The 24,237-nt window shown below is 38.0% G+C and overlaps 1 protein-coding gene across 4 annotated transcripts in view, besides 1 other annotated feature; it reads left to right on the top strand.

Moving 5' to 3' along the window:
- SMURF2 (SMAD specific E3 ubiquitin protein ligase 2) overlaps nt 1-24,237 on the top strand; it is a 120,026-nt gene that overhangs the window by 44,211 nt on the left and 51,578 nt on the right. For 2 of the 4 annotated variants that reach the window (XR_007065425.1, XM_047436546.1), the window contains exons 1-3: nt 1,007-4,228; nt 11,457-11,495; nt 19,607-19,715. Coding sequence is in view for 3 of the 4 variants with exons in the window: in XM_047436546.1 (XP_047292502.1) it covers nt 4,171-4,228; nt 11,457-11,495; nt 19,607-19,715 (206 nt within the window). In the remaining variant the exon portion in view is untranslated. Of the gene's footprint in view, nt 1-1,006; nt 4,229-11,456; nt 11,496-19,606; nt 19,716-24,237 lie in introns of those variants that run through there. The other 2 variants (NM_022739.4, XM_005257585.4) reach the window with 2 other exon arrangements.
- Nucleotides 15,488-15,537: a silencer, noted in NCBI's record as "silent region_8844". NCBI's record gives its function as "represses an Ori minimal core promoter by ATAC-STARR-seq in GM12878 lymphoblastoid cells {active_cell/tissue: GM12878}" and the evidence as "EXISTENCE:reporter gene assay evidence [ECO:0000049][PMID:35858748]".

The following is a 24,237-nucleotide window of genomic DNA, read 5'->3' as shown; positions in this document are numbered from 1 at the left end:
AAGATAAGCTTTACTTTAAAATTACCTCTGATCACGATAAGTAAAAAAAATTATAATTGTGACTAGAATAAAATCTATAATTCTGACTAGATTTCTTTAAAATCTGCATTTATTATGTCAAAGTAGATCTATTATTGATAAACTTGCACTCAGTGTTTAGAAAGCTTATTTGTATAGTCTCATCTTGTTTTATTAATGTAAAAAGTACGCATGTTTGTGAGAACTTTACCAAAATCTTCATCTTTGTTGAAAAAAAATTTTTAAGTAGTTACTTAAAAGTTGTTTGATATGAGTGGACTAGAAAGGTCATTTTAAATTTGTTAACTGAGGCTGGGCGCAGTGGCTCATGCCTGTAATTCTAACAGTCTGGGAGACTGAGGTAGGAGGATTGCTTGAGCCTGGGCAACATGGCAAGACCCCATCTCTGCAAAAAAATTTTAGACATTAGCAAGGCATGGTGGTGTGCGCCTGTAGTCCCAGGTACTCAGAGGTTGAGATGGGAGGATCTCTTGAGCCCAGAAAATTTAACTGGAGTCTGCAGTGAGTCGTGTTTGCGCCACTCCATTCCAGCCTAAGTGACAGAGTGAGATCATCTCAAAAAAATAAAAATATAATAAATTTTCTGAGAACCAATTTTGCCTTGTTGAAATGTTTAAATGCTGATACTGTTCTTAGGATAATTACCTCAGAACCTGTATCTTTTAATACATCATCAAACATACTAATTAGATTAACTACTTGCCAGGTACTGAATATATTAAGTTAAACTTAAGGGCCTAGTTTGTTTTGCAGCATGAATGAAATGAATTGCCTAAAATTCCTTCATTAAATGACAAGATATTTACTTAAAAGCAGGGCTAATATGATTGTTGAGGTAAATTACTATATCTGTTGAAAGAGGAGAATTCTGAATCTTTTGCAGAGCACCCTTCTGTAACCTAGTTTTCAATTAACCGTTTTGTGAACCTGTGTCACCAATAATTGCTTTAACTGGACTAAGATTTTTTTTTTTTTTTTTTTTTTTTTTTTTTAGACAAGGTCTCATTCTGTTGCCCAGGCTAGAGTGCAGTGGTGTGAACATGGCTTACTGCAGGCTCAGGTGATTCTTCCACCTTAGCCTCCTGAGTAGCTGGGACTACAGGCACACACCACCATGCCGGGCTATTTTTTTTTCTTTTTTTGTATATTTTTGTAGAGATGGGGTTTTGCCCTGTTGCCCAGACTGGTCTCGAACTCCTAGGCTCAAACCATCAGCCCGCCTAGACGTCTCAAACTGTTGGGATTACAGGCATGAGCCACTGTGCCAGCCTAGAGTAAGATTCTTTAAAAGGAAGTACTAGCCTGAGAGAGTATGTTTCACTCTATATGGTAGTTGAGTTTGGGTTCTAGAATTAATCTACTTGAGTTGGAATCTCAGCTCTAGTTCTTTTTTTTTTTTTTTTGAGACAGAGTCTCGCACTGTCGTCTGGGCTGGAGTACAGTGGCGCGATCTCAGCTCACTGTAACCTCCGCCTCCTGGGTTCAAGTGGATTTTTCTGCCTTAGCCTCCTGAGTAGCAGAGACTGTATACAGGCACCTGCCACCACACATGGCTGATTTTTTGTATTTTTAGAAGAGACAGGGTTTCACTATGTTGGCCAGGCTGGTCTCAAACTCCTGACCTCATGATCCGCCCACCTCAGCCTCCCAAAGTGCTGGGATTGCAGGCAGAGCCACCGTGCCCAGCCAACTCTAGCTCTTAAAAGCAAAATCACTGGTAAGTCTCTATGCCTGAATCTCAGTTTCCTCATCTCTAAAATGACGGTAGTACTACTACTTATTTCACAGGGTGGTTGGTGTACACTTGCACATAGTAAATATTTGATAAATGTTATCCAATATGTTTATATTCTTTACTAAAAATATATTTTATTAAATGTACTACATGTAAAAGGACTTTTAATAGCATATTAAGAAAATATTTTCTAAGCCGGGTGTGGTGGCTGACGCCTGTAATCCCAGCACTTTGGGAGGTCGAGGCAGGTGGATCACTTGAGGTCAGGAATTTGAGACCAGCCTGGCCAACATGGGGAAACCCTGTCTCTACTAAAAATACAGCAATTAGCCGAGTGTGGTGGCGCATGCCTGTAATCCCAGCTACTCGAGAGGCTGAGGCATGAGAATCACTTGAACCTGGGAGGCAGAGATTGCAGTGAGCTGAGATCGCGCCATTGCACTCCAGCCTGGGCAACAGAGCGAGACTGTCAAAAAAAAAAGGAAATTATTTTCTTATCCATCAATAAATAAATACATTTACATAATCTTTAATGGCTGTGTAATATTTCAACTTGCTGTTTGCTATCATTTACTTAACTGATCATTTTTATGCATATAGAATTATATGTGATATATTTGCTTATTTTAACATTTTGTAATAACACCTTGAATGTGAATCTGTGTAATACTCTTGTTTCAAGCAACAATAACTAAAACACATAAAAAATTGTGTAGAAGTTTTCTGTAGCATTTAAATTTCATTTTCATTTCATGTTTAGGGGTTGAGATAGAGGCTGTTTCTCAGAGCAGAAAGATGTAAATTGCTGTCATGTGCCACTGGTCAGGAATGGTGTACATCAGTTGATACTTCTGAAGCACTGGGCCACCTGCTGGAATTTGTATAGGAATGTTATCCTGAATTTCGGTTTTATTTTACAATGATAACATAAGTTTAAAGCACATGCAGAGAAATCTGTGTTCAAAAGCATTTATGCTACTTTTGAGTTGCAGGGACAGTATTATAAAATCTTTTTGTGGGGTGAAGGAAGATGGGATGTCTGAGTATTTTTTTTTTCTCTCAAGCAGTCTCATTCCAATCAGCAGTGTAATTGGAATGCAACTCCAATCTGGAGGAGGAAGGGGAATTTTTGGCAAGGATATACTAAGTAGTTGGGAGCTTTATTCACATTAAGCGTAGATAGCCATTCATTATGAAAACAACTCAGTAAGAACAAGCATAGCATTCTCTTTCTACAGCTGCGATTTACTCTGATACTATTACCTGGTTTGTTGCATATAGATAACTCCTTTCCTACCAGAAAAATAAATTATTGACCTAAATGAAAATGGTAGTATTTACTGCCATCTGTACTTCTGCAAATGGTTTTCTCTAATCGCTGCCTCAAATGAAGTATAAGATTTCCATAAAGTTTAAAACCGTATCTTGAGAAAACAACAATAAAAGGCATTTATGACATGGTATTTGAATTATACCTGACCTGTGAGCTCTGAGAGCAAAGGACTATGTCTTATTTTTCTTTGTATCTGCAGAAACTGTCATAGCACTTGGCACAAAGTGAGTGTTCAGGAAATGTTGAATGAGAGAGTGAATGATGTAGGAGTATTCCTTTCTCCCTAAGTATCTCAAGATGATCACACCTGCATCTGTGTGAAATGCAGAGGCTTTATCCAATATGGCTGATGTCAGTTCATTTTGATCATCTCTGCTAATCATTTCAAACCATCTGTCTGAAAAAGGAGTGAGTACAATAGCTAGAACAAGCTAGGTTCTGGGAGTGTAGACTTAAGAATGAAATGCTTTGAAGGAATTTGAGAAGGGTAGTAACATGATGAAGTAGTATAAGCAGACTTAATCTAGTACAAATATATGGGCTGTTTGAGACATTGTCCCTGGTGGATTCTGCAGCATGGTACTGTGGTGGTGTAATGCTACATTTGTAGTTAGCACTAATAAAAATTGACTTGTGCCTACTAAATATCTGTAGTCCAGTATAATGTTTTGCTTTAACACAAAAATTGGTGAAAATTAATTGAATTAATTCAGATACTTCAGATTTTTGTGCCTTTCTGTATATATAATTTCAATTCCATATATATAAGCTTACTAAACATTAAAGATATTGAAATACTGATTGCTGTCTAGGCCAGGGGTCCTCAACCCTGGGCCATGGGCTGCACAGCAGGAGATGAGCCAGTGAAGCATCATCTGTATTTACAACCACTTCCCATCGTGTATTACCACCTGAGCTCAGCCTCCTCTCAGATCAGCAGCGGCAATAGATTCTCATAGGAGTGTTAACCCTACTGTGAACTGCGCATGCGAGGGATCTAGGTTGCCCCTCCTTATAAGAATCTAATGCCTGATGATCTGTCACTGTCTTTCTTCACTCCCAGATGGGACTGTCTAGTTGCAGGAAAACAAGCTCAGGGCTCCCACTGATTCTACATTATGGTGAGTTGTATAATTATTCTATTATATATTACAATGTAATAATAATAGAAATAAGTGCACAATAAATGTAATGAGATTGAATCATTCCCAAAACCCCCTTGCCTGCTCCCCTCTGCCCCCCCTCCACACACACACACACACACACACACACACACACACACACACACACACACACACACACACACACACACACACTGGTCCGTGGAAAACTTGTCTTCCATGAAGCCAATCCCTGGTGCCAAAAAGGTTGGGGACTGCGGTCTAGGAAAAAGTCTGTACCCCATAGCCTTTGTTCTGGCCTCGCCCACCTAACAAGATTTCTCTCCTGTTACTCCCTTACTGCCCAGCATTTCTCAACATTTTTACCTATTTTCTTTAAGAAACATTTAGAAAGCAGAAATGAAACTTCTCCCACACTGCCACCCCTCCCTAGTCCCATGATTCCTAATCTTAGTTCTACTTTCCATAGTTTCTATTACAAAAGATGATAGATTAATTTTCTCCTAATATAAAATTATAATATTGTATATACATTCTCCAGGGGATTCTGATACATACCTCCTTAGTTGAGAATTTGCTGTGGTGACATAATCAGGAGTTTGTCATATTGAAATTCATGGATTCTTTGAGCATTTACCAATCTTCTGTGATTAGAACAGAGAATGAAAAGAGCAATGGGCTGTGGTTCTAGTCCCCAAGGTACATTCCCAAGAAAAAAGAACAGTGCAGTAAAGGCTCCAGGATGTGAAAACAATTTATTTTTACAGATAAATAACATTACCAGTTCTCAGGTCATGTTTTGACAATCTTCCTTTTAAAAGTTACAAATCAGAGTTTTTGCTTCCAGGGCAGAAAGTAATTTAGTAAAGCTGGCTGGAACTGCTTAGATCCAGCATGAAGCATAGCGGTCTGACCAATCTTGATATTATTTCTTTGTTTTAAGTTAATCTTGTTTCTTCTAGAACACTAATGTTATTTTCCTTAATCTCTTGATTACTAAAATGTAATTTCTCCTCATAAGCTTTGAACTTGATTTTAAAGTTCTTTGTTCTTTTGATTTTTCAATTGTTCTTTGAAACTGAATGTTAAACATTCTGTGATTTTTTTTTAAGAATTGGTTAAACACGACCGGATAAGTATGTTTTAAGTAAAGAGAAATGATAAAAATAAGATTTTTTTGAGGGGTGGAGGGAGGGGGACAGTGTCTCACTCTGTTGCTCAGGCTGGAGTGCAGTGGTGTGATCTCAGCTAACTGCAACCTCTGCCTTCCAGGCTCAAGTGATTCTCATGCCTCAGCCTCCTGAGTAGCTGAGACTACATGTGTGTGCCACCACACCTGGCTAATTTTTTTTTTTTTTTGTATTTTTAGTAGAGATGGGGTTTTGCCATGTTGCCCAGGTCTCAAACTCCTGGCCTCAAGTGATCTGCCCGCCTTGGCCTCCCAAAGTGCTGGAATTACAGACATGAGCCACAGTACCTGGCCTAAAATAAGATTTCTTAAATCAAAATTATGATTATGTGAGGATTGGCCATTGTTATATAGTATAAAAAGTTATTTAGATTATTTTAGGGTCTATTTCATTCATTCAACAGATATTTATTGAGTACCTATCAAGTGCCAGGCGTAATGTGTGCTTGGTGCAGGAAGAGATGAGGCAGGCATGATTCGTGCTGTATGGAGTTTACCACCTCCGCAATTATAAGCAACATTCCAAACTTAAACGAGAACAGTAAAATGTGATAAGTGTTTATAAAAGTATGAGCTTCTGTGAAAATACAAGCGGGGAAAGCTTGAGAGAAACATGTTCTAAAAGGCATCCTTCCCTTTTGAGACCAGGAGATGAGTAGGTGAAGAAGCCTAGGAAGAATGTTTCAGGCAGAGAGAATGGCACGTGAAGGCTGTGGGTGAGAGAGATACATTTGAGAAAGTGAAGGTTAGTGTGGCTGGATCTTAGACTTGAGGGCCTGGAAGGGAGCTGTGGTGATGAAAAATGAGGTCAGAGAGGTGAGCAGGAGCCAGGGCTTGAAGGGCATTGAAGCCAATATAAGTTTGGGCCAGAAGACCTTTGGAATGTTTTAAGGATCTTAGAAGGGGAAATGGATGGAAAGACTTAATTAGATTTTTAGCTCACTTCAGGTCCAGCGTGGAGAACTGGAAAGAAGTGAGGCTTTGAGGCAGGGGAATGTTGTAATTACCTAGACAGTAGATGGTGGACTAAGGTGTTGGCATCGGTAATAGAGAGAAGTAGACAGATGAAGGATATTTCCGAGGTAGAATTGCTGAGAATTGTAATTGTCAGGATGTCAGGAGGGAATACAGTGAAGGTTGCTATGGAGATTTCTGACTTGGGTAGTGGAGTGGAAAGGAAGGCTATTTATTGAAAAGAAAGTCAACTGGAGGGAGGAGCAGGTTTGCGGGGAAGACGTGATTTTTGGGGGGAACGCATATTTGGTTTGTGGACCTGGAGTTCAGGAGAAAACTAAGGATCGGGTTTTATGAATTTAGGTATCATCATAACCATAGAGTAAATGGTAAAGACCAGAGAGAATATATGGAAAAGTGGCTCTTCGGATTTTATTTTTTGAGAGAGAGGAAGAGTTCTGTCAATCTATTAAGCTATGAACTCTCTCCCAGGAAAAATGTGGATTCTCTCCCCAGAAAATAAACATATATGTAACAGTTTACGTATAATTGCAAGATTTACAAAAATGGACACTGTGATCCTCAGGTTACAGAGTGAAATAAGAGAACCTAGGGCAAAACCCTGAAGAACTTCAAGTTTTATAGCACAGCAAGATCTGGCAAAGAGAACTTAGAATGAGTTTTATGCCGTGTAGAACCAGGTGAATGTGGTGTTAAACAGAACTGGAAGAGAGGGTTTCTAGAAGAGGGAGTAGTCAGCAGTGGCAAATGCCCATGAGGGGGTCAAGTGCCATAAAGAATGAAAAATGTCCATTGTATGGACTTGGTAATTAGGTCTCCAGGGCTTTGTAGCAGCAGTTCAGAGGCAATGGTGAGGGAGGAAGCCAGATTGCAGTGGATCAGGGCATTAGTGGGAGGTAAAGAAGTAGAGTCAAAAAGTGTAGGCAGTTCTTTTTAAAAATGTTTTAAAATTATACTTTAAGTTCTGGGGTACATGTGCAGAACGTGCAGTTTTGTTACATAGGTATACATGTACCATGGTGGTTTGTTGCACCCATCAACCCATCATCTACATTAGGTATTTCTCCTAATGCTATCCCTCCCTAACCCCCAACCCGCCAACAGGCCCCAGTGTGTGATGTTCCCCTCCATGTGTCCATGTGTTCTCATTGTTCAACTCCCACTTATAAGTGAGAACATGTGGTGTTTGGTTTTCTGTTCTTGTGTTAGTTTGCTGAGAATGATGCTTTCCGGCCTCATCCATGTCCCTGCAAAGGACATGAACTCATCCTTTTTTATGGCTGCATAGTATTCCATGGTGTATATGTGCCACATTTTCTTTATCCAGTCTATCATTGATGGGCATTTGGGTTGGTTCCAAGTCTTTGCTATTGTGGATAGTGCCACAATAAACATACATGTGCATATGTCTTTATAGTAGAATGATTTATAATCCTTTGGGTATATACCCAGTAATGGAATTGCTGGGTCAAATGGTATTTCTGGTTCTAGATCCTTGAGGAATTGCCACACTGTCTTTCACAATGGTTGAACTAATTTACATGCCCACCAACAGTGTAAAAGCATTCCTATTTCTCCACATCCTCTCCAGCATCTGTTGTTTTCTGACTTTTTAATGATTGCCATTCTAACTGGTGTGAGATGGTATCTCATTGTGGTTTTGATTTGCATTTCTCTAATGACCAGTGATGATGAGCTTTTTTTCATATGTTTGTTGGCTGCATAAATGTCTTCTTTTGAGAAGTGTCTGTTCATAATCCTTTGCCCACTTTTTGATGGGGTTTTTTTTTTTGTAAATTTAAATTCTTTGTAGATTTGGAATATTAGCCCTTTGTCAGATGGATAGATTGCAAATTTTTTCTCCCATTCTGTAGGGTGCCTGTTCACTCTGATGAGTTTCTTTTGTGTGCAGAAGCTCTTTAGTTAGATCCCATTTGTCTATTTTGGCTTTTGTTGCCATTGCGTTTGGTGTTTTAGTCATGAAGTCTTTGTGCGTGCCTGTGTCCTGAATGGTATTGCCTAGGTTTTCTTCTAGGGTTTTTATGGTTTTAAGTCTTACGTTTAAGTCTTTAATGTATCTCGAGTTAATTTTTGTATAAGGTGTAAGGAAGGAGTCCAGTTTCAGTTTTCTGCATATGGCTAGTCAGTTTTCCCAACACCATTTATTACATAGGGAATCCTTTCCCCCATTGCTTGTTTTTGTCAGGTTTGTCAAAGATCAGATGGTTGTAGATGTGTGGTGTTATTTCTGAGGCCTCTGTTCTGTTACATTGGTCTATATATTTGTTTTGGTACCAGTACCGTGCTGTTTTTGTTACTGTAACCTTGTAGTATAGTTTGAAGTCAGGTAGTGTGATGCCTCCAGCTTTGTTCTTTTTGCTTAGGATTGTCTTGGCTATGTGGGCTCTTTTTTGGTTCCATATGAAATTTAAAGTAGTTTTTTTCAATTCTGTGAAGAGAGTCAATGGTAGCTTGATGGGGATAGCATTGAATCTATAAATTACTTTGGGCAGTATGGCCATTTTCACAATATTGATTCTTCCTATCCATGAACATGGAATGTTTTTCCATTTATTTGTGTCCTCTCTTATTTCGTTGAGCAGTGGTTTGTAGTTCTCTTTGAAGAGGTCCTTCACATCCCTTGTAAGTTGTATTCCTAGGTATTTTATTGTCTTTATAGCAATTGGCTCTGTTTGTCTGTTATTGGTGTATAGGAATGCTTGTGATTTTTGCACATTTATTTTCTTTGAAGAAGTTTCATTATGAGAGGGAAGAGGTAGATGATGGCTGGCTGAAGGGAGGCTTGGGTAAGACTTGAGTATGTTTAAATGTTGACAAGGTGATTAGAAAAGGGGACAAGATAGAGGATATGTATAACAGCTGTGAAGATCCCCGAGAACATGGTGGTTTAGATATGAGATAGAGGATAGTCTTAGAGAGGACAGTAGACATTGTCAGTGGAAGGAAGGGAAAAAGAATGAATATGTAGGTTTGGTGGCAGTGAGTTGGAGGAGATCTCATGTTTTCTCTTTCTCTGAAGTCGGATGTGAAATCATTTCACTTCATGAATCATAGGATAGTGGTTTGTTTAAAAAAATCATCATTACCTCATTAAAACTGAAGATTGTAATTTAGATTTTTGTGTGTGTTACATGTGTATTGATCCTGAGTATTCTGTTCAATTTATATTATGACAAAAGTTTGGGGAGGAGTTCTCTAAATCTAGTTTGTGATTTCTTATTCTTAGTTATGGCCCTAGTTTTCATGATTGATTGAGTTTTTATGTTTTTAAAAACAAAACTCTAAGACATGGCCTAAGGGACTCTGCCTAGTATACCAGTATCTTGTGCTTACTTAATAATTTTATTTATTTAGTGATGACATCTGTTTTCAAAAGGTTTTTTTATGTGAACCCTTAGAGTGATTAGTTATATTTATTTAGATTCATTCCCAAGTTTATGTCAAATGAGCTTTTATACACTAAACTTCCAATAACTGTAATTCATTTAAACTGTTAGTAGAAGTGGATAGAAATACCAAACATTACATTCATAGGTATTTTATGAACTAAAATTTACATATATGAAAATTGATGTTTTTCTTTCTCTTGTATCAAGTTTGAGTTAAAGAAGTTTTAAGTTTATGACTCTATAAGCAGATTTATTTATTTATTTATTTATTTATTTATTTATTTATTTATTTATTTATGACAGAGTCTTGCTCTGTCGCCCAGGCTGGAGTTCAGTGGTTGCAATCTTGGCTCACTAGTACAGTGGTGCAATCTTGGCTCATTGCAGCCTCCACCTCCCAGGTTCAAGTGATTCTCGCACCTCAGCCTCCTGAGTAGCTGGGATTACAGGTGTGCGCCACTACACCCAGCTAATTTTTGTATTTTTACTAGAGACACAGTTTCATCATGTTAGCCAGGCTGGTCTCAAACTCCTGACCTCAAGCGATCCAGCCACCTTGGCCTCCCAAAGTACTGGGATTACAGACATGAGCCACTGTGCCCAGCCTGTAAGCAGTAATTTTAAAATTGATATGTAACTCATATACTATAAAATCCTTTTTTTTTTTTTTTGAGACAGTCTTGCTCTGTAGCCCAGGCTGGAGTGCAGTGGCGCAATCTTGGCTCACTGCAACCTCCCTCTCCCGGGTTCAAGCGATTCTTCTGCCTCAGTCTACTGAGTAGCTGGGACTACAGGCGCACGCCACCACGCCCAGCTAATTTTTGTATTTTTAGTAGAGACGGGGTGTCACCATATTGGCCAGGCTGGTCTCGAACTCCTGACATTGTGATCCGCCCGCCTCGGCCTCCCAAAGTGCTGGGATTACGGGTGTGAGCCACTGCGCCCGGCCAAAATTTATCCTCTTTAAAGTGGGCAATTCAATATTTTTTAGTGTGTTCACAAGGTTGAGCATCCATCCGTGTAAGTAATTTAATGCATATTAACTTGGAAAATGTGGATTTGGGATATCTAGTTTTAATATATTAACTTTAAATTCTTAAAAGATATAGTAGACATATCTTGTCATTTAACTGATGATTTAGGAGAAGGTAATTTGATTTCTCCCATGAAGTTTCTGTGGCATTTAGATGGAGAACAGAATGTTATTTAAAAAAAAAAAAAAAGAAAAAAAACTCATCTATATCAGGAAAGCTTTATCTTTATTTGTGATCCTCTTCAGTATAAAATTATTTCATCCTTAAAATAGATATAACAACCTGACTTTACATATCTCCTTTGAACTATTTTTCCTATTGCCACTGAGTTTCTCAGAGAGTAGATCTTGATGGAAGATAGGAATTGAATTTCTACCTTATTATTAGAATATCAGATTTATAAACTTTCTTGCCCTCAGCTATTACTGGTGATCATTGAAAGTTGCAACCACTGGTTCAACTGTCTTTTATTTGCTAGTTCGAAAGTTTGTGGTCATGTTTCATACCTTGCTATAGTTAGGGTTTAACTATTCACTGCTGTTTTCCGTGTTTTAAAATGTAACAGTACACTCTTAACATTTTAATTTTTCCCATGTATTTTTTGTTTTTTTTTTTTACAGTACTCTGTGCAAAAAACCTGGTGAAAAAGGATTTTTTCCGTAAGTAAATTAACTTTAAATCTTGTGTATTGTATGTAGATCTTTGGGAACAGCGTTTTCAGAATTCTCTGGTTTAGGGGTTTCTCTATTCAGAAGTATTGTCAGTGTTATTTTATTATGAATGCTTCGGTTCAGAGCCATTTGGCATCACATTTTTTTTTTAGAAGGTTTTGTGCTTTTTAGGCTTAGCCCTTTCCTTTTATTCACCTCTCCCACGTATTTATGAGAATGAGTGTGTATGCAGGTGTGTAAATGCAGATGTGTGTAATGTATATTGAAGGTGTGCATACTACTAGAGTTCTAGAAAAGGTTTAAGAGATTATTTTGTGAACACTTTCTTCCTTTTGAAAATTTCATGGGAAACTTTACTCATTCAAGATTCATTGGAAGGTAGAAAAGTCATTGAGCCTGCTTGGAATTTCCAGAGTGTGGGAAAGAAATCTCTGCCACATTTGATCCTAGATGCTCTTACCTCTCAGATTCCAAAGCAGATGTTTGGTTCCCATATATGCCTTATATTTACCAATCTGTTGTAATTTTTTTTTCTGGCTTTATTTAGTACTAAGTTTTATGAGAGGGGATTGGGAAGTACCCAGCATGTATATTACAATCTTTATTCTGTTGTAGCTTTAAGTTATTGGTTAAAAATGATATAATTTTTAGTGAAAAAAAAAAACTTCAGCCAACAAAATTTTTTATGTAAAACATTTGAAATTAGAATAGAGATGATTCATTAAATTTTTAAATTCAAGTCACGGGCTATGTGTGCTGTTTGATTTCATGTGATAGTAGATGATTTTCAGGGGCTTGATTAAAAGAAATAAGATATATATATATATATATATATATATATATATTCTTTTTAGAGACAGGATCTTGCCCTGTCACCCAGGCTATAGTAGAGTGGCACAGTCATAGCTCACTGCAGCCTCAAACTCCTGGGCTCAAGGGATCCTCCTATCTCACCCTCCTGAGTGGGTGGACTGCAGACACACTTCACCACGTCCAGCTAATTTATTTATTTATTTATTTACTATTCTTTGTAGAGGCAGGATCTTGCTATGTTGCCCAGGCTGGTCTCAAACTCCTGGTCTCAAGTGATCCTCCTACCTCAGCCTCCCAAAGTGCTGGGATTACAGGTGTGAGCCACTGTGCCCGGCCAATATAATTTAAAATTATACTTAATTCATTCCACTTGAAATTTTATTATTTTGAGTTTTTGTAGAGCAGAACCTGAATTAAAGTTTATAAAATAACATCTTATAAAACTATATAGTTATAAATGTTTATGGTTATCTTTCTGCTTATATGAGAAAGCAAATAGGATAATTTGGAACATAGGACGCAAATTATAAGCAGTTTAAATTTATGTACCATGTGCCTTCTCGCCAGAAGCTTGTCACAGTGGAAGGTCCCAATGGCCACAGAACTTCCCATCTCTCCCTGTTGCCTCCAATCACTGTTATCTGTCTCAGGCTGCTGCTCACTTCCTACCTCATCCCTGTTGCTACTAACTGAGGTGTACTTTTTTTTTTTTAACCTTTGATAAGGTTGATCTAAGGTAGGATTTATACTAGTGGGCTTGCAAAGTGGCAAATAGGGTTGGACAAGGAGAAAAGGGAGGGAAGTAAGGGGAGCACTTTTCCTTTTTTTTTTTTTAGACGGAGTCTCACTCTGTTGCCCAGGCTGGAGTGCAGTGGTGTGATCTCGGCTCACTGCAAACTCCACCTCTCGGGTTCAAGCGATTCTCCTGCCTCAGCCTCCTGAGTAGCTGGGATTACAGGTGCACGCCAACACGCCTGCCTAATTTTTGTATTTTTAGTAGAGACGGAGTTTCACCATGTTGGTCAGGCTGGTCTCGAATGCCTGACCTCGTGATCCTCCTGCCTTGGCCTCCCACAGTGCTGGGATTATAGACATGAACCATCGCGCCCGGCTGAGAGGAGCACTCTTACAGCTGCTTCTGCACTCTCCAAGACATCTGCTCTGGTTTTGAAGATAAAATCTTCAGTTTTGTCTCCCAGCTTTCCTTTTCAAATTTCCTTCCTCTCGAGTCCCAAGACACAGCTTCTCTAATAAAATATCCAGATATTCTTACCTCATTTTTCCTAGGATATCTAGAGGAATCATATATTAATGTTTTATAAACCTTTGAGAGCTGATTGTTAACCCTTATATGATCTTTGTCCTTAAATTGTAAGTGAAAGAAAGAAGGAAATCTTTTCCCTTTTTCATGGGTGTAGGCAGTAAAAATTGATAAAAATTCTAAGAGTGTGAACTTGCTTTAGGGATAAGATTAGGGGAAACAGTGTGATTATCTTTAAAACTTAGAATGGGAGACTCTTGATGGCCTGGAAAGAGAAACAGGAATGGTAATCCTTAGGGCTTCAGAGGGGAGTTAGCCAGGAATGGAAGTTACCTCCCAGGTTCACACTGGCCAAGGTCGCAGGTCCATTCTGTGGTAGATTTACATGTATACTTATACAGATTTTTGACCTGTTAAGGGTTGCCCACATTAATTTCAGAGACAGTAATTCCTAAATTCTTCAATTAAATATAAATGAATGTGTGTTTATTGATCAGTGCAGTTATTAATAGTAAAATATAGTTAAGTTTTTGCTTGCGATTCAGTTAAAATTGTATTGAATGAGAAAAGCAAATTTTAATACAAAGTACGACTATAGGGTGATGAAATAGATATATATTTTTCATCGCAGGAAAAAATACACTGCCATGTGTTGTCTTTTGAAGAGTAATTTGTATGTGAGGTAATACTGTTTATTGGGCGCTATCCTTGTTGAGAAAAGTTTTTTTAACTCATGTTTTTGAACTGTTTTCAAGCTTATTGGCTTTTAAAAATAAGTCACTTCCCCTTTCCCCCAGAATTTTAGCAGGAAAAATTTCAAACATAAAGCAACAGATAAAATAATTTTATAGTAAAGACCCACCATCTAGATTCTACCATTAACTTTATCACATATTTACCCATTTATTCATTATGTTTTTTTTTTTTTTTTTCCCCCGACGGAGTCTTGCTCTGTCCCCCGGCTAGAGTGCAGTGGCGTGATCTCGGCTCACTGCAACCTCTGCCTCCCGTGTTCAAGCAATTCTCCTGCCTCAGCCTCCCGAGTAGCTGGGATTACAGGCATGTGCCACCACACCCAGCTAATTTTTGTATTTTTAGTAGAGACGGGGTTTCACCATGTTGGCCAGGCTGGTCTCGAACTCCTGACCTCATGTGATCCGCCTGCCTCGGCCTCTCAAAGTGCTAGGATTACAGGCATGAGCCACTGTGCCCTGCCTTCATTATCTGTTTTATGTGTATTTTTTATATGAAAAGGAATGTTTTCATTTAGATTTGTTCTTCTGCAACATTTTAAAAAAGATTTCTGTGTAAGGTAATAAGGTGTTTTATAGGGGGCCAAATTGAAGTCATTTAAAACCAAGATGGGTTGGCTAAATGTTGTGTATGTTTTTTTTTTTTCTTGGCCCAATTGAAAATGAAGCTGTTTTCTTTGGAAGGTAGCACACTTTTGAGTTGAAAATGTTATTTTATTATTATTTGCAGCTTTTCAAGTGCATTTGTGTAGTAAGGAGGTTTTTGAGCTTTAGCTATTTTACATGTCTCAGAAATGATGGGGGAGAATTGAGACAAAAAAAAATTTTTTTTTTCCCTTGAGACAAAGTCTGTCTCTGACACCCGGGCTGGAGTGCAGTGGCGCGATCTCGACTCACTGCAACCTCCGCCTCCCAGGTTCAAGCAATTCTGCTTCTGCCTCCTGAGTAGCTGGGACTACAGGCATGTGCCACCACACCCGGCTAATTTTTTGTATTTTTAGTAGAGATGTGGTTGCACCGTGTTAGCCAGGATGGTCTTGAACTCGTGACCTCGTGATCCACCCACTTCGGCCTCCCAAAGTGCTGGGATTACAGGCGTGAGCCACTGTGCCTGGCTGAGAAATTTTTTAAAATGCAGAAAGTTCTCTAGCCACTTTGTGTTTACCACTAGATGTCTCACTAACTTCAGAAAACCTGATAGTTTTTGACCACATGGGAGTAACTTGGCTCTCAAGTTAAATTTTTGGAGAATAATATAATCAGGTTAAGTTGAAACCTATGTATTTTTTTATTAAGGTATTGAACTGGTGTTTTTGTTTACTGTGTTATTTAACAGAAAGGGAACATAAAAGGCTGTGACTTTCCTACTTAATTAAGGATCTGGAAGCCACATTTTGTATGGAAAAAATTGTTTTTCTTTTATTATTTTATTTTTTTATTTCAATAAGTTTTGGGGGAACAGATGGTGTTTGATTACATGAATAAGTACTTTAGTGGTGATTTCTGAGATTCTGGTGGACCCATCACCCAAGCAGTGTACACTGTACCCAGTGTATAGTCTTTTATCCCCTGTTACCCCCACCCTTTCCCCCAGTCCCCATAGTCCAGTATATCATTCTTACGCCTTTGCATCCTCATAGCTTAGCTCCCACATGTGACTGAGAACATACGATGTTAGGTTTTCCATTCTTGAGTTACTTCACTTAGAATAATAGTCTCCAATTTTATCCAGGTTGCTGTGATTATTTCTTTTTAATGGCTGAGTAGTATTCCATGGTGTATGTATGTATATGTGGTGTGTGTGTGTGTATATGTAGGTGTGTATATATATATATACACACACATATAATTATATATAAATATATACATATATAATTATATAATATAAACATATATATACACACACACATATACACACACACACACACCACATTTCTTTACCCACTCGTTGATTGATAGGTGTTTGGGCTGCTTCAGTATTTTTGCAATTGTGAGTTGTGCTGCTACAAACCTGCGTGTGCAAGTATCTTTTTCGTATAATGACTTCTTTCCCTCTGGGTTAATACCTAGTAGTGGGATTGCTAGATCAAACAGTAGATCTACTTTTAGTTCTTTAAGGAATCTCCACACTGTTTTCCGTAGTGGTTGTACTAGTTTACATTACTACCAGCCGTGTAAAAGTGTTCCCTTTTCACTGCATCCATGCCAACATCTGTTATTTTTAAATTTTTTGATTATGGCCATTCTTGCAGGAGTGAGGTGGCATCGCATTATAGTTCTGATTTGCATTTCCCTGATACTTAGTGATGCTGAGCATTTTTCATTATGCTTATTGGCCTATCTTGTTGATATATCTTTTTTTGAGAATTGTCTATTGATGTCCTTAACCCACTTTTTGATGGGATTGTTTGATTTTTTCTTGCTGATTTGTTTGAGTACTTTATAGATTCTGGATATTAGTCCTTTGTCAGCTGTTGTTTTTCTTAATCCTTAATCTTTTTTTCCACTGAGATAGGGTCTTGCTCTGTCAACCAGGTTGGAGTGCAGTGGCATGATCATGGCTCACTGCAGCCTCGGCCTCCCAGGCTCAAGCAATCCTCCCATTTTAGCCTCCTGAGTAGCTGAGACTACAGACGTATGCCACCATGCTTGGCTAACTTTTAAATTATTTTGTGGGGGATGGGGGGTGGTCTTACTATGTTGCCCAGGCTGGTTTCAAACTCCTGGGCTCAAGTGATCCTTTCGCCTCAGCCTCCCAAAGTGCTGAAATTACAGGTGTGAGCTACTGTGTCTGGCCAGTCCTTAATTCTTTTTCATTTTATTTTTTTAAAAAAGCAAGAAACCAGAGAGACTTAATTCTTCAACTAGTTTAATAACACCCAAAGGGAAAGTTTAGAAATGTGATTTTTTTGTTTTTGCTCATAAATACACATTTATATGTTTATTTATTTAAATAGTAGAGTGAAAATAACAAGATAGAGTGAATTCTTCCCAGGAGGAAATCTTCATTTATTGAGGGTGGAGGTAAAAACATTCTTCCATTGAACACATTTATAAATGGTTAGGTGTTACTGAAATACTATGCATAGCACTCAGCTTCAAGAACAATATAGTCAAATAGATTTAATACCCTAACTTACCAAGTTTCTTTGAAACTTAACGCCTAAATTTTGGTCCTCCTTTATTATTTGGAAGCGATAGATCACAGAATCATAGAATTGGGGAACTGATAGGTGATTTGTCTGTCCTTGAAACTTGGCAAATTAGTATCTTAAAAAAATTAGCATTGATACCAACATGCAAAATTTCTCCAGTCACCAACACTTAACGCTGTTTTGTTCTAGTATTTTCAGCTGTCCACAGGAAATCTACTCTATCCCAATGTCTAACACATGAAGTGACATTTTTGTCTCTCTAACATTTTTAGTTCCACCTTTTAAATTTTTGTCAAAAGAATCATTTTCATTATTGCTTTGGGCTGAAAACTGTATTGTCATCTTTGATACAAGTTTCTTATTAATTTGTATTAGATCTTTCAGAATAGCTCTCTTGTCATTTCCTTTCCCTTTCCACATGACTTCCCTCATTCAGGGTCTTTTCATCCTACTGTTGGATAATTACAACAGCTTCATATATGGTCTGCCTCTAGTCTTTCTTTCTCCTAGTGGGCCCTGAATACCACTGATAGAAAAATATGACTGTAGTTACAGCCATGCTCAAGAACCTGAAATGGCTCCCTGTTATCTACCTCAATCAGTCCAAGCCCTGTTGCCCGACTTTTAAGCCTCTCTTACTGGGTCAGTCATATTTCCAATAGTATTTACTTTTACACCTTAGCACAAGCTCTTTGGTTAGACTCTTCAAAGTCTTTTAAATATTGTATTGTCATACCCTCCTTGGTGCTCTTCCTTTTGCTAGGAAAGTCCTCCTTCTCCTGTATGCCCTTTAAAGCAGCAGCCCCCAACCTTCGGCACAGGGACCGGTTTCATGCAAGACAGTTTTTCCAAGGACATGGGGAGCAGGGGATGTGTTGGGATGAAACTGTTCCATCTCAGATCATCAGACTTTAGATTCTCATAAGGAGCGCACAACCTAGATCCCTTGCAAGCGCAGTTCACCATAGGGTTCCAGCTCCTATGAGCATCTAATGCTGCCGCTGATCTGACAGAAGGCGGAGCTCAGGCTGTAATGCTTACTCTCCCACCGCTCACTTCCTGCTTTGTGGTCCGGTTGTAACAGGCCACGAACCTGTACCGGCCCATGGTGCAGAGGTTGGAGACGCCTGCCTTAAAGCCCAGATGAGTTCCCTCCTCCCTCAAAGCCCTTTCTTTACTGTTCAGATTCAAACCTTTTCTCCTGTTTTTCTGAGCTCTTACTTGTACTCACTGTTGGACCACGTAGTAAATAAGAGGTAAAATACAGCATAGTGGTTAAGAGCATGAAGTCGAGAGCCAGACATGGGTTTAGAATCTACACTTTAGATTCTGGCCCTGCCATTTACTACTCTGTGACCTTGGGCTAGTTAATTGACCCCCTTGTGCCTTGGTTTCCTCATCAGTAAAATAGGGATAATAACAGTGTTTACCTCGTAGGGTTATTGTAAGGATTAAGGATAAATGTATTTAGAATAGTACCTAACATAGTGATATAAGTGTTTGCGTTACAATCAGTATCACTAAGCACTTGTTTATTCTCAGGTATTTTTGGTTTTGTTTTTCATGTATAGTATTTTTATTTTTCCAATTAGATAGTAAGCTCTTTTAAGGCAGAGTGTTACATCTTTTGTTTCAGTCTGATTTTTCCTGGTAGTTATTCAGCAAAACTCATTTGCTAATTTGATTTCTCTGTAGCCTGTGTTCCTGTATAAAAACCTTTAATAAGCTTTTTCTTTAAATGAGCTACTGAGGGAGACATTTGGAAAGAAAAAGCCATGAATGGTTACAAGAATTCATGTAACCATTCATGACCCCATTCCTCGGGTCAGAGGGCTGGTAACAACCTATTAAAAACTTCCACATTATGAGGTAACCTCTAGATTTTGGTAGTTTAAACTGGGACTATTTTGAGACAGAAACGAGAAAAAATATAGTTTTGGTATTTAATGTAGAAGTAACTTTAGTCTTTTTTTTTAAAAAATGGACTATTCATTTATAGCTAAATGTTAAACTTTTTTAAAAGAATGGAATAATCTTTTGTAGCAAATGGAATGCTTGTATAATTAATCTTCTATCTTAAATGTCAAATTATTAATTTTAGAAAATCTTTTTTCACAGGACTTCCTGATCCATTTGCTAAGGTGGTGGTTGATGGATCTGGGCAATGCCATTCTACAGATACTGTGAAGAATACGCTTGATCCAAAGTGGAATCAGCATTATGACCTGTAGGTTTCAACAATTAGTTTGAAATGGAACATATCATTAAATTATTTGATATAGTCTTTGAAAATAATCATGGGAAATGATCTGGGTTTCATCTGTGGTATAATTTGGTCATCACAAAAGGGGTAAAGAAAAGCCCAGTGGGAATGTGCTTTGGCTTATAGACAGGTTTTGAAAGATGAGGTATCTCTAAAATTCTATGAAGAAGAAAATGAAACTGGCTCACAGTAGAGCAATCCCCCACCTCTTTTTTCAATTAAATAAAGGTATTAATTCACCACTTTAGACCAATTATAAAACCAGAAATAAGGATTTGGGTTGCACTGAATAGGCTTCTTTTTGCCTTTATATGGATGGTTTCTTTCTTTTAAATTTTATTTTAAACCATTGGAGTATATGCACCTTTTTAAAAAGGCAAATGATACAATAAAGCTTTTACTGGAAAACAGCAAGTTCCCTGCTCCATTCTCATTCCTGATTCCCATCCTCAAGGCAACTGCTTTAATAACTTTGGCTGTTTATTCTGGTATTTTCATCTGTTTCTAGATATGTATTTTATTTTATAGCATCACAGTTTTCTTTTTTTAGTTTTAGGTAATTTTTTTTTTTTTTTGAGACAGTCTTGCTCTGTCACCCAGGTTGGAGTGCAGTGGCACCATCTCGGCTCACTGCAATCTCTGTCTCCTGAGTTCAAGCATTTCTCCTGTCTCAGCCTCCCGAGTAGCTGGGACTACAGGTGCCCACCACCACATTCAGCTAATTTTTGTATTTTTAGTAGAGATGGGATTTCACCATGTTGGCCAGGCTGGTCTCGAACTCCTGACCTCAAGTGATCCGCCTGCCTCGGTCTCCCAAAGTGCCGGGATTACAGACATGAGCCACTGCGCCCAGCCTAGTTTTAGGTATTTTTGAATTTCCTACCTAGAAGATGATTCGGCTTTATTTTTTATTATTAAAAATTCTTTTAAAATTAGAAACAGTCTCACTCTATTGCTCAGGCCAGAGTGCAGTGGCATAATCATAGCTCAGTGTAGCCTCTAACTCCTGGACTCAACTGATCCTCCCACCTCACCCTCCTCAGTAGCTGGAACTACAGGTGCATGCCACCATGCCCAGCTAATTTTTTTTTTAAGGTAATTTTTTGTAGAGATGGGGTCTTGCTATATTGCCCAGTCTGGTCTTGAATTCCTGGGCTCAAGATTCTCCCTCCTTGGCCTCCCAAAGTATTTGGATTACAAGCGTGGGCTGTGATGCCCAGCCCAGTGGTTCAGCTTTTAAAATTGGTATTCAGCATCCCCATTCTCATGACACAAGCCTCTTCCTTTCTTTAGTCTTCCAATATAATTATATGAACCTTTTTGGTTAAACCATTGTTCCATGTTTACATTATTATGATTATGTAAATATCCATAGTTGGGTCACAGGGGTACAAGAATTACATTTTCTTTCTTGACAACTTTTGTTTTTTCTGAAGTTAGTAGCTACTTTTCCCATTTGTTTAGTTATCTATTTATCTCCTAGATAGAAATGAGAAGTTATATGTCATAATCCTCAGACTCTCCTATAGAACTAAAGATCTTTTCTCCATATATTCAGTTCTGTCAGTATTCCATTGGCTTTTTTTCTTCTTGGAGATAACCCTCCTGGGAGTCTGTGTTCTCTTTCTTTAGTCTTGTGTGATGGTTCTCTAAGACCCACTGCGCAGTTGTCCTGGGACTTGCCTTTATTGTTATGTTGGCAATTTCCTTTGTCTCTTCTAGGTTTAGTGACTTCCTTTTTTTTTTTTTTTTTTTTTTTTGTTTACTCTCCTGTTTCGGTGAACTTTATCTTCCATTGTCATTTTGAGAAATAATACAAAGATGGGAAGAAAGTTGAGATCTTATCAGAAGATATACTTTGACTTCTTATCTTTTGATATGGTTTGAATATAGGCTTCTAGGTGAAATATCACTTTACCTCCAAATGTTGAATACATTGCTCCATTATCTTCTAGGTTTAGATCCATACTGTTGAGTAGAAATATAATGTAAGGCACAGATGGGAGCTCATCTATAATTTTAAATTTCCTAGCATCCACGTTAAGATAAGTAAAAAGAAACAGATGACATTAAGCATAATAAACTGGGCATAGTGGCTTGCACCTGTAATCCAGCTACAACATAACGAGACCCTGTTTCTTAAAATGAAGCATAATAATATATTTTATTTAATTCAGTATATCAAAAATACTTTCAACATGTCAGTATAAAAATATTGAGCTACTTACACATATATGTATATATACATATTTACTATGTCTCTAAAAAATCAGCGGTTTTCTCATTTTATGTTAAGAAAAAAAAAAATCAGTGGTTTATTTTGCAGCTTGCCTCAATTTGGACTAGCCACACTTGAAGTCCTCAAGGGTCTCGTGGTTGGTGGGTACCATTTTGGAAATTGTAGGTTTAGAGTATTGCTGATGGCATCCTGATTTTGATCTTTCATGACTGTTGTTTTCCACTGGAAGTTTCTTTATTCCTCTGTCACTGTTATTTTCTTTTAAAAAAAATTGTGGCCACCCTAGTGGGTATGAAGTTGTATCTGGTCATGGTTTTGAGGTGCATCATGACTAATGATGTTGAACATCTTTCTTGTACTTATTAGGTTTTATCTTACAATTAATATTAATTGGCTGTCAGAAGCATCTCTTATGATTGTTTCCAAAGTCATTTTACAAAACCCTTGCCTTTAATTGGCTAAGTATACAAACAAAATCTAATAATTAAATTTTAGCCCAAAATCCTGAGTACATATTTTGGTCTATATGGTAACATTGTATTCACCTATAGAGGTGTCCCTCTCTCCCTTTCAACAAAACATCCTGAAACTTGTTTATAAATCATGTATTTGTTAGTAAGTCAAAGTTTTAATAGAAGCTAATAGAGCCCTCTATTTAACTTTCAATTGCAAAAGGAATTTACTGTTTTTGTTGCCATGTATGTTATATTACATGAGGTTTCATTAAAGTGAGAGCATGTACTTCTCTATGTATAAGAAAAGGTAATATTTTGGATTCATTTCTGGCCCAGGAATATTTGGACAGAATGTTTGTGACATGTACGCTTAAGTAATACAATATATTTCATAATTTTTAGTAATTCAGAGTTAGGCTATCTTCCAGAAGGTCTATAATTAGCAATTTCTTATTATGATTTAATGTAGAGCTTCCCAACCTTTTCATATCATGGTACACATAAAAAATATGGCACATTGGACTACACAGATGAAGTTGCTTAAGCCAGTGGTGCGTTGCCCTGAGGACTGAGGTAATCAATATATGTATTTCAGCATACCTGTAAACCAGGCTTACTAGTTGGACAACTGGTTTAACGTAACTTTTTTTTTTCTTTTTTTGAGACGGAGTTTTGCTCTTGTTGCCCAGGCTGGAGTGCAGTGACGCAATCTAGGCTCACCACAACCTCCGCCTCCCGGGTTCAAGTGATTCTCCTGCCTCAGCCTCCCAAGTAGCTGGGATTGCAGGTGCATGCCACCGTGCCTGGCTAAGTTTTTTTGTATTTTTAGTAGAGACAGGGTTTCTCCATGTTGGTCAGGCTGGTCTCGAACTCCTGTCCTCTGGTGATCTGCCTGCCTCGGCCTCCTAAAGTGCTAGAATTACAGGCGTGAGCCACCGCGCCCGGCCTAATGTAACTTTTTAAAAAATGTTCAGCTTGGGTAATTCAGCTACTTAATACTTGATTCTGGCTCTGGAATTACATGCCAGTAGATACATGCCAAGATAGAACTGGTAGGTGTATTCGAAAATTGGTACATGCATACTGAACAATATTTTAATTCAGATTTTTTCATTTGCAAGCAACAGAGACCAAATTCAAATTGGCTTAATTTTTTAAAAGGGAATGTACTGATTTGCATAATTAAAAGCCTGGGGTGGGCATTTTTTAGGCACAGCTGGATCCCGGGGCTCAAGTGTACCTTCCATGTCACTTATTTAAAAGCTTTAGTCCTTACTTAAATGGTTTAGGCTTTTCTGTATACTAGGTGAATTTTTCTGATATTGTAATTTATTGAATGATACTTTAAGATCAAGGTTGCTGGACCAAAAATTTGACCTCTTATTGTCATTGAAATAGAGCTAGGATTCTACTGACATGTTATTTTATTATCTTTTTGCATGGGTTGATGCCATGTTAACAATTGGCTGTGGTAGAGCTTTTACATACTTACAGGCATATGCACAGACAAGTACAGTAACGCTTTTCCCTGCTCTGCTTGTCTGCAGGCAGTGAAGTGAAATCTGCAAGAGTCCTGCTCGCTCAAGGCCTGCATACAGGAAAGAAGCAGGGGAAAAGCGTTACAAACAGCTTTTGTTCTACAGCATTTTAAAATATAACAGGTAGGTCAGATTTTTGGTCTGTCAGCCTTGACACTATCCCTTGAAAAGTAGGTCATGTCATCGACATGTATTTAAAATGTGACTGTGATAAAAGTTTTTAAGATTCTTTTTCTTGCAAAGAAGTTATTTAA

Source organism: Homo sapiens, chromosome 17 (genome assembly GCF_000001405.40).
Source record: "Homo sapiens chromosome 17, GRCh38.p14 Primary Assembly".
NCBI classification, from domain to species: Eukaryota; Metazoa; Chordata; class Mammalia; order Primates; family Hominidae; genus Homo; species Homo sapiens.
The sequence above is the reverse complement of the archived record's forward strand: the minus strand, read 5'-3'. Positions and strand labels throughout refer to the sequence as shown.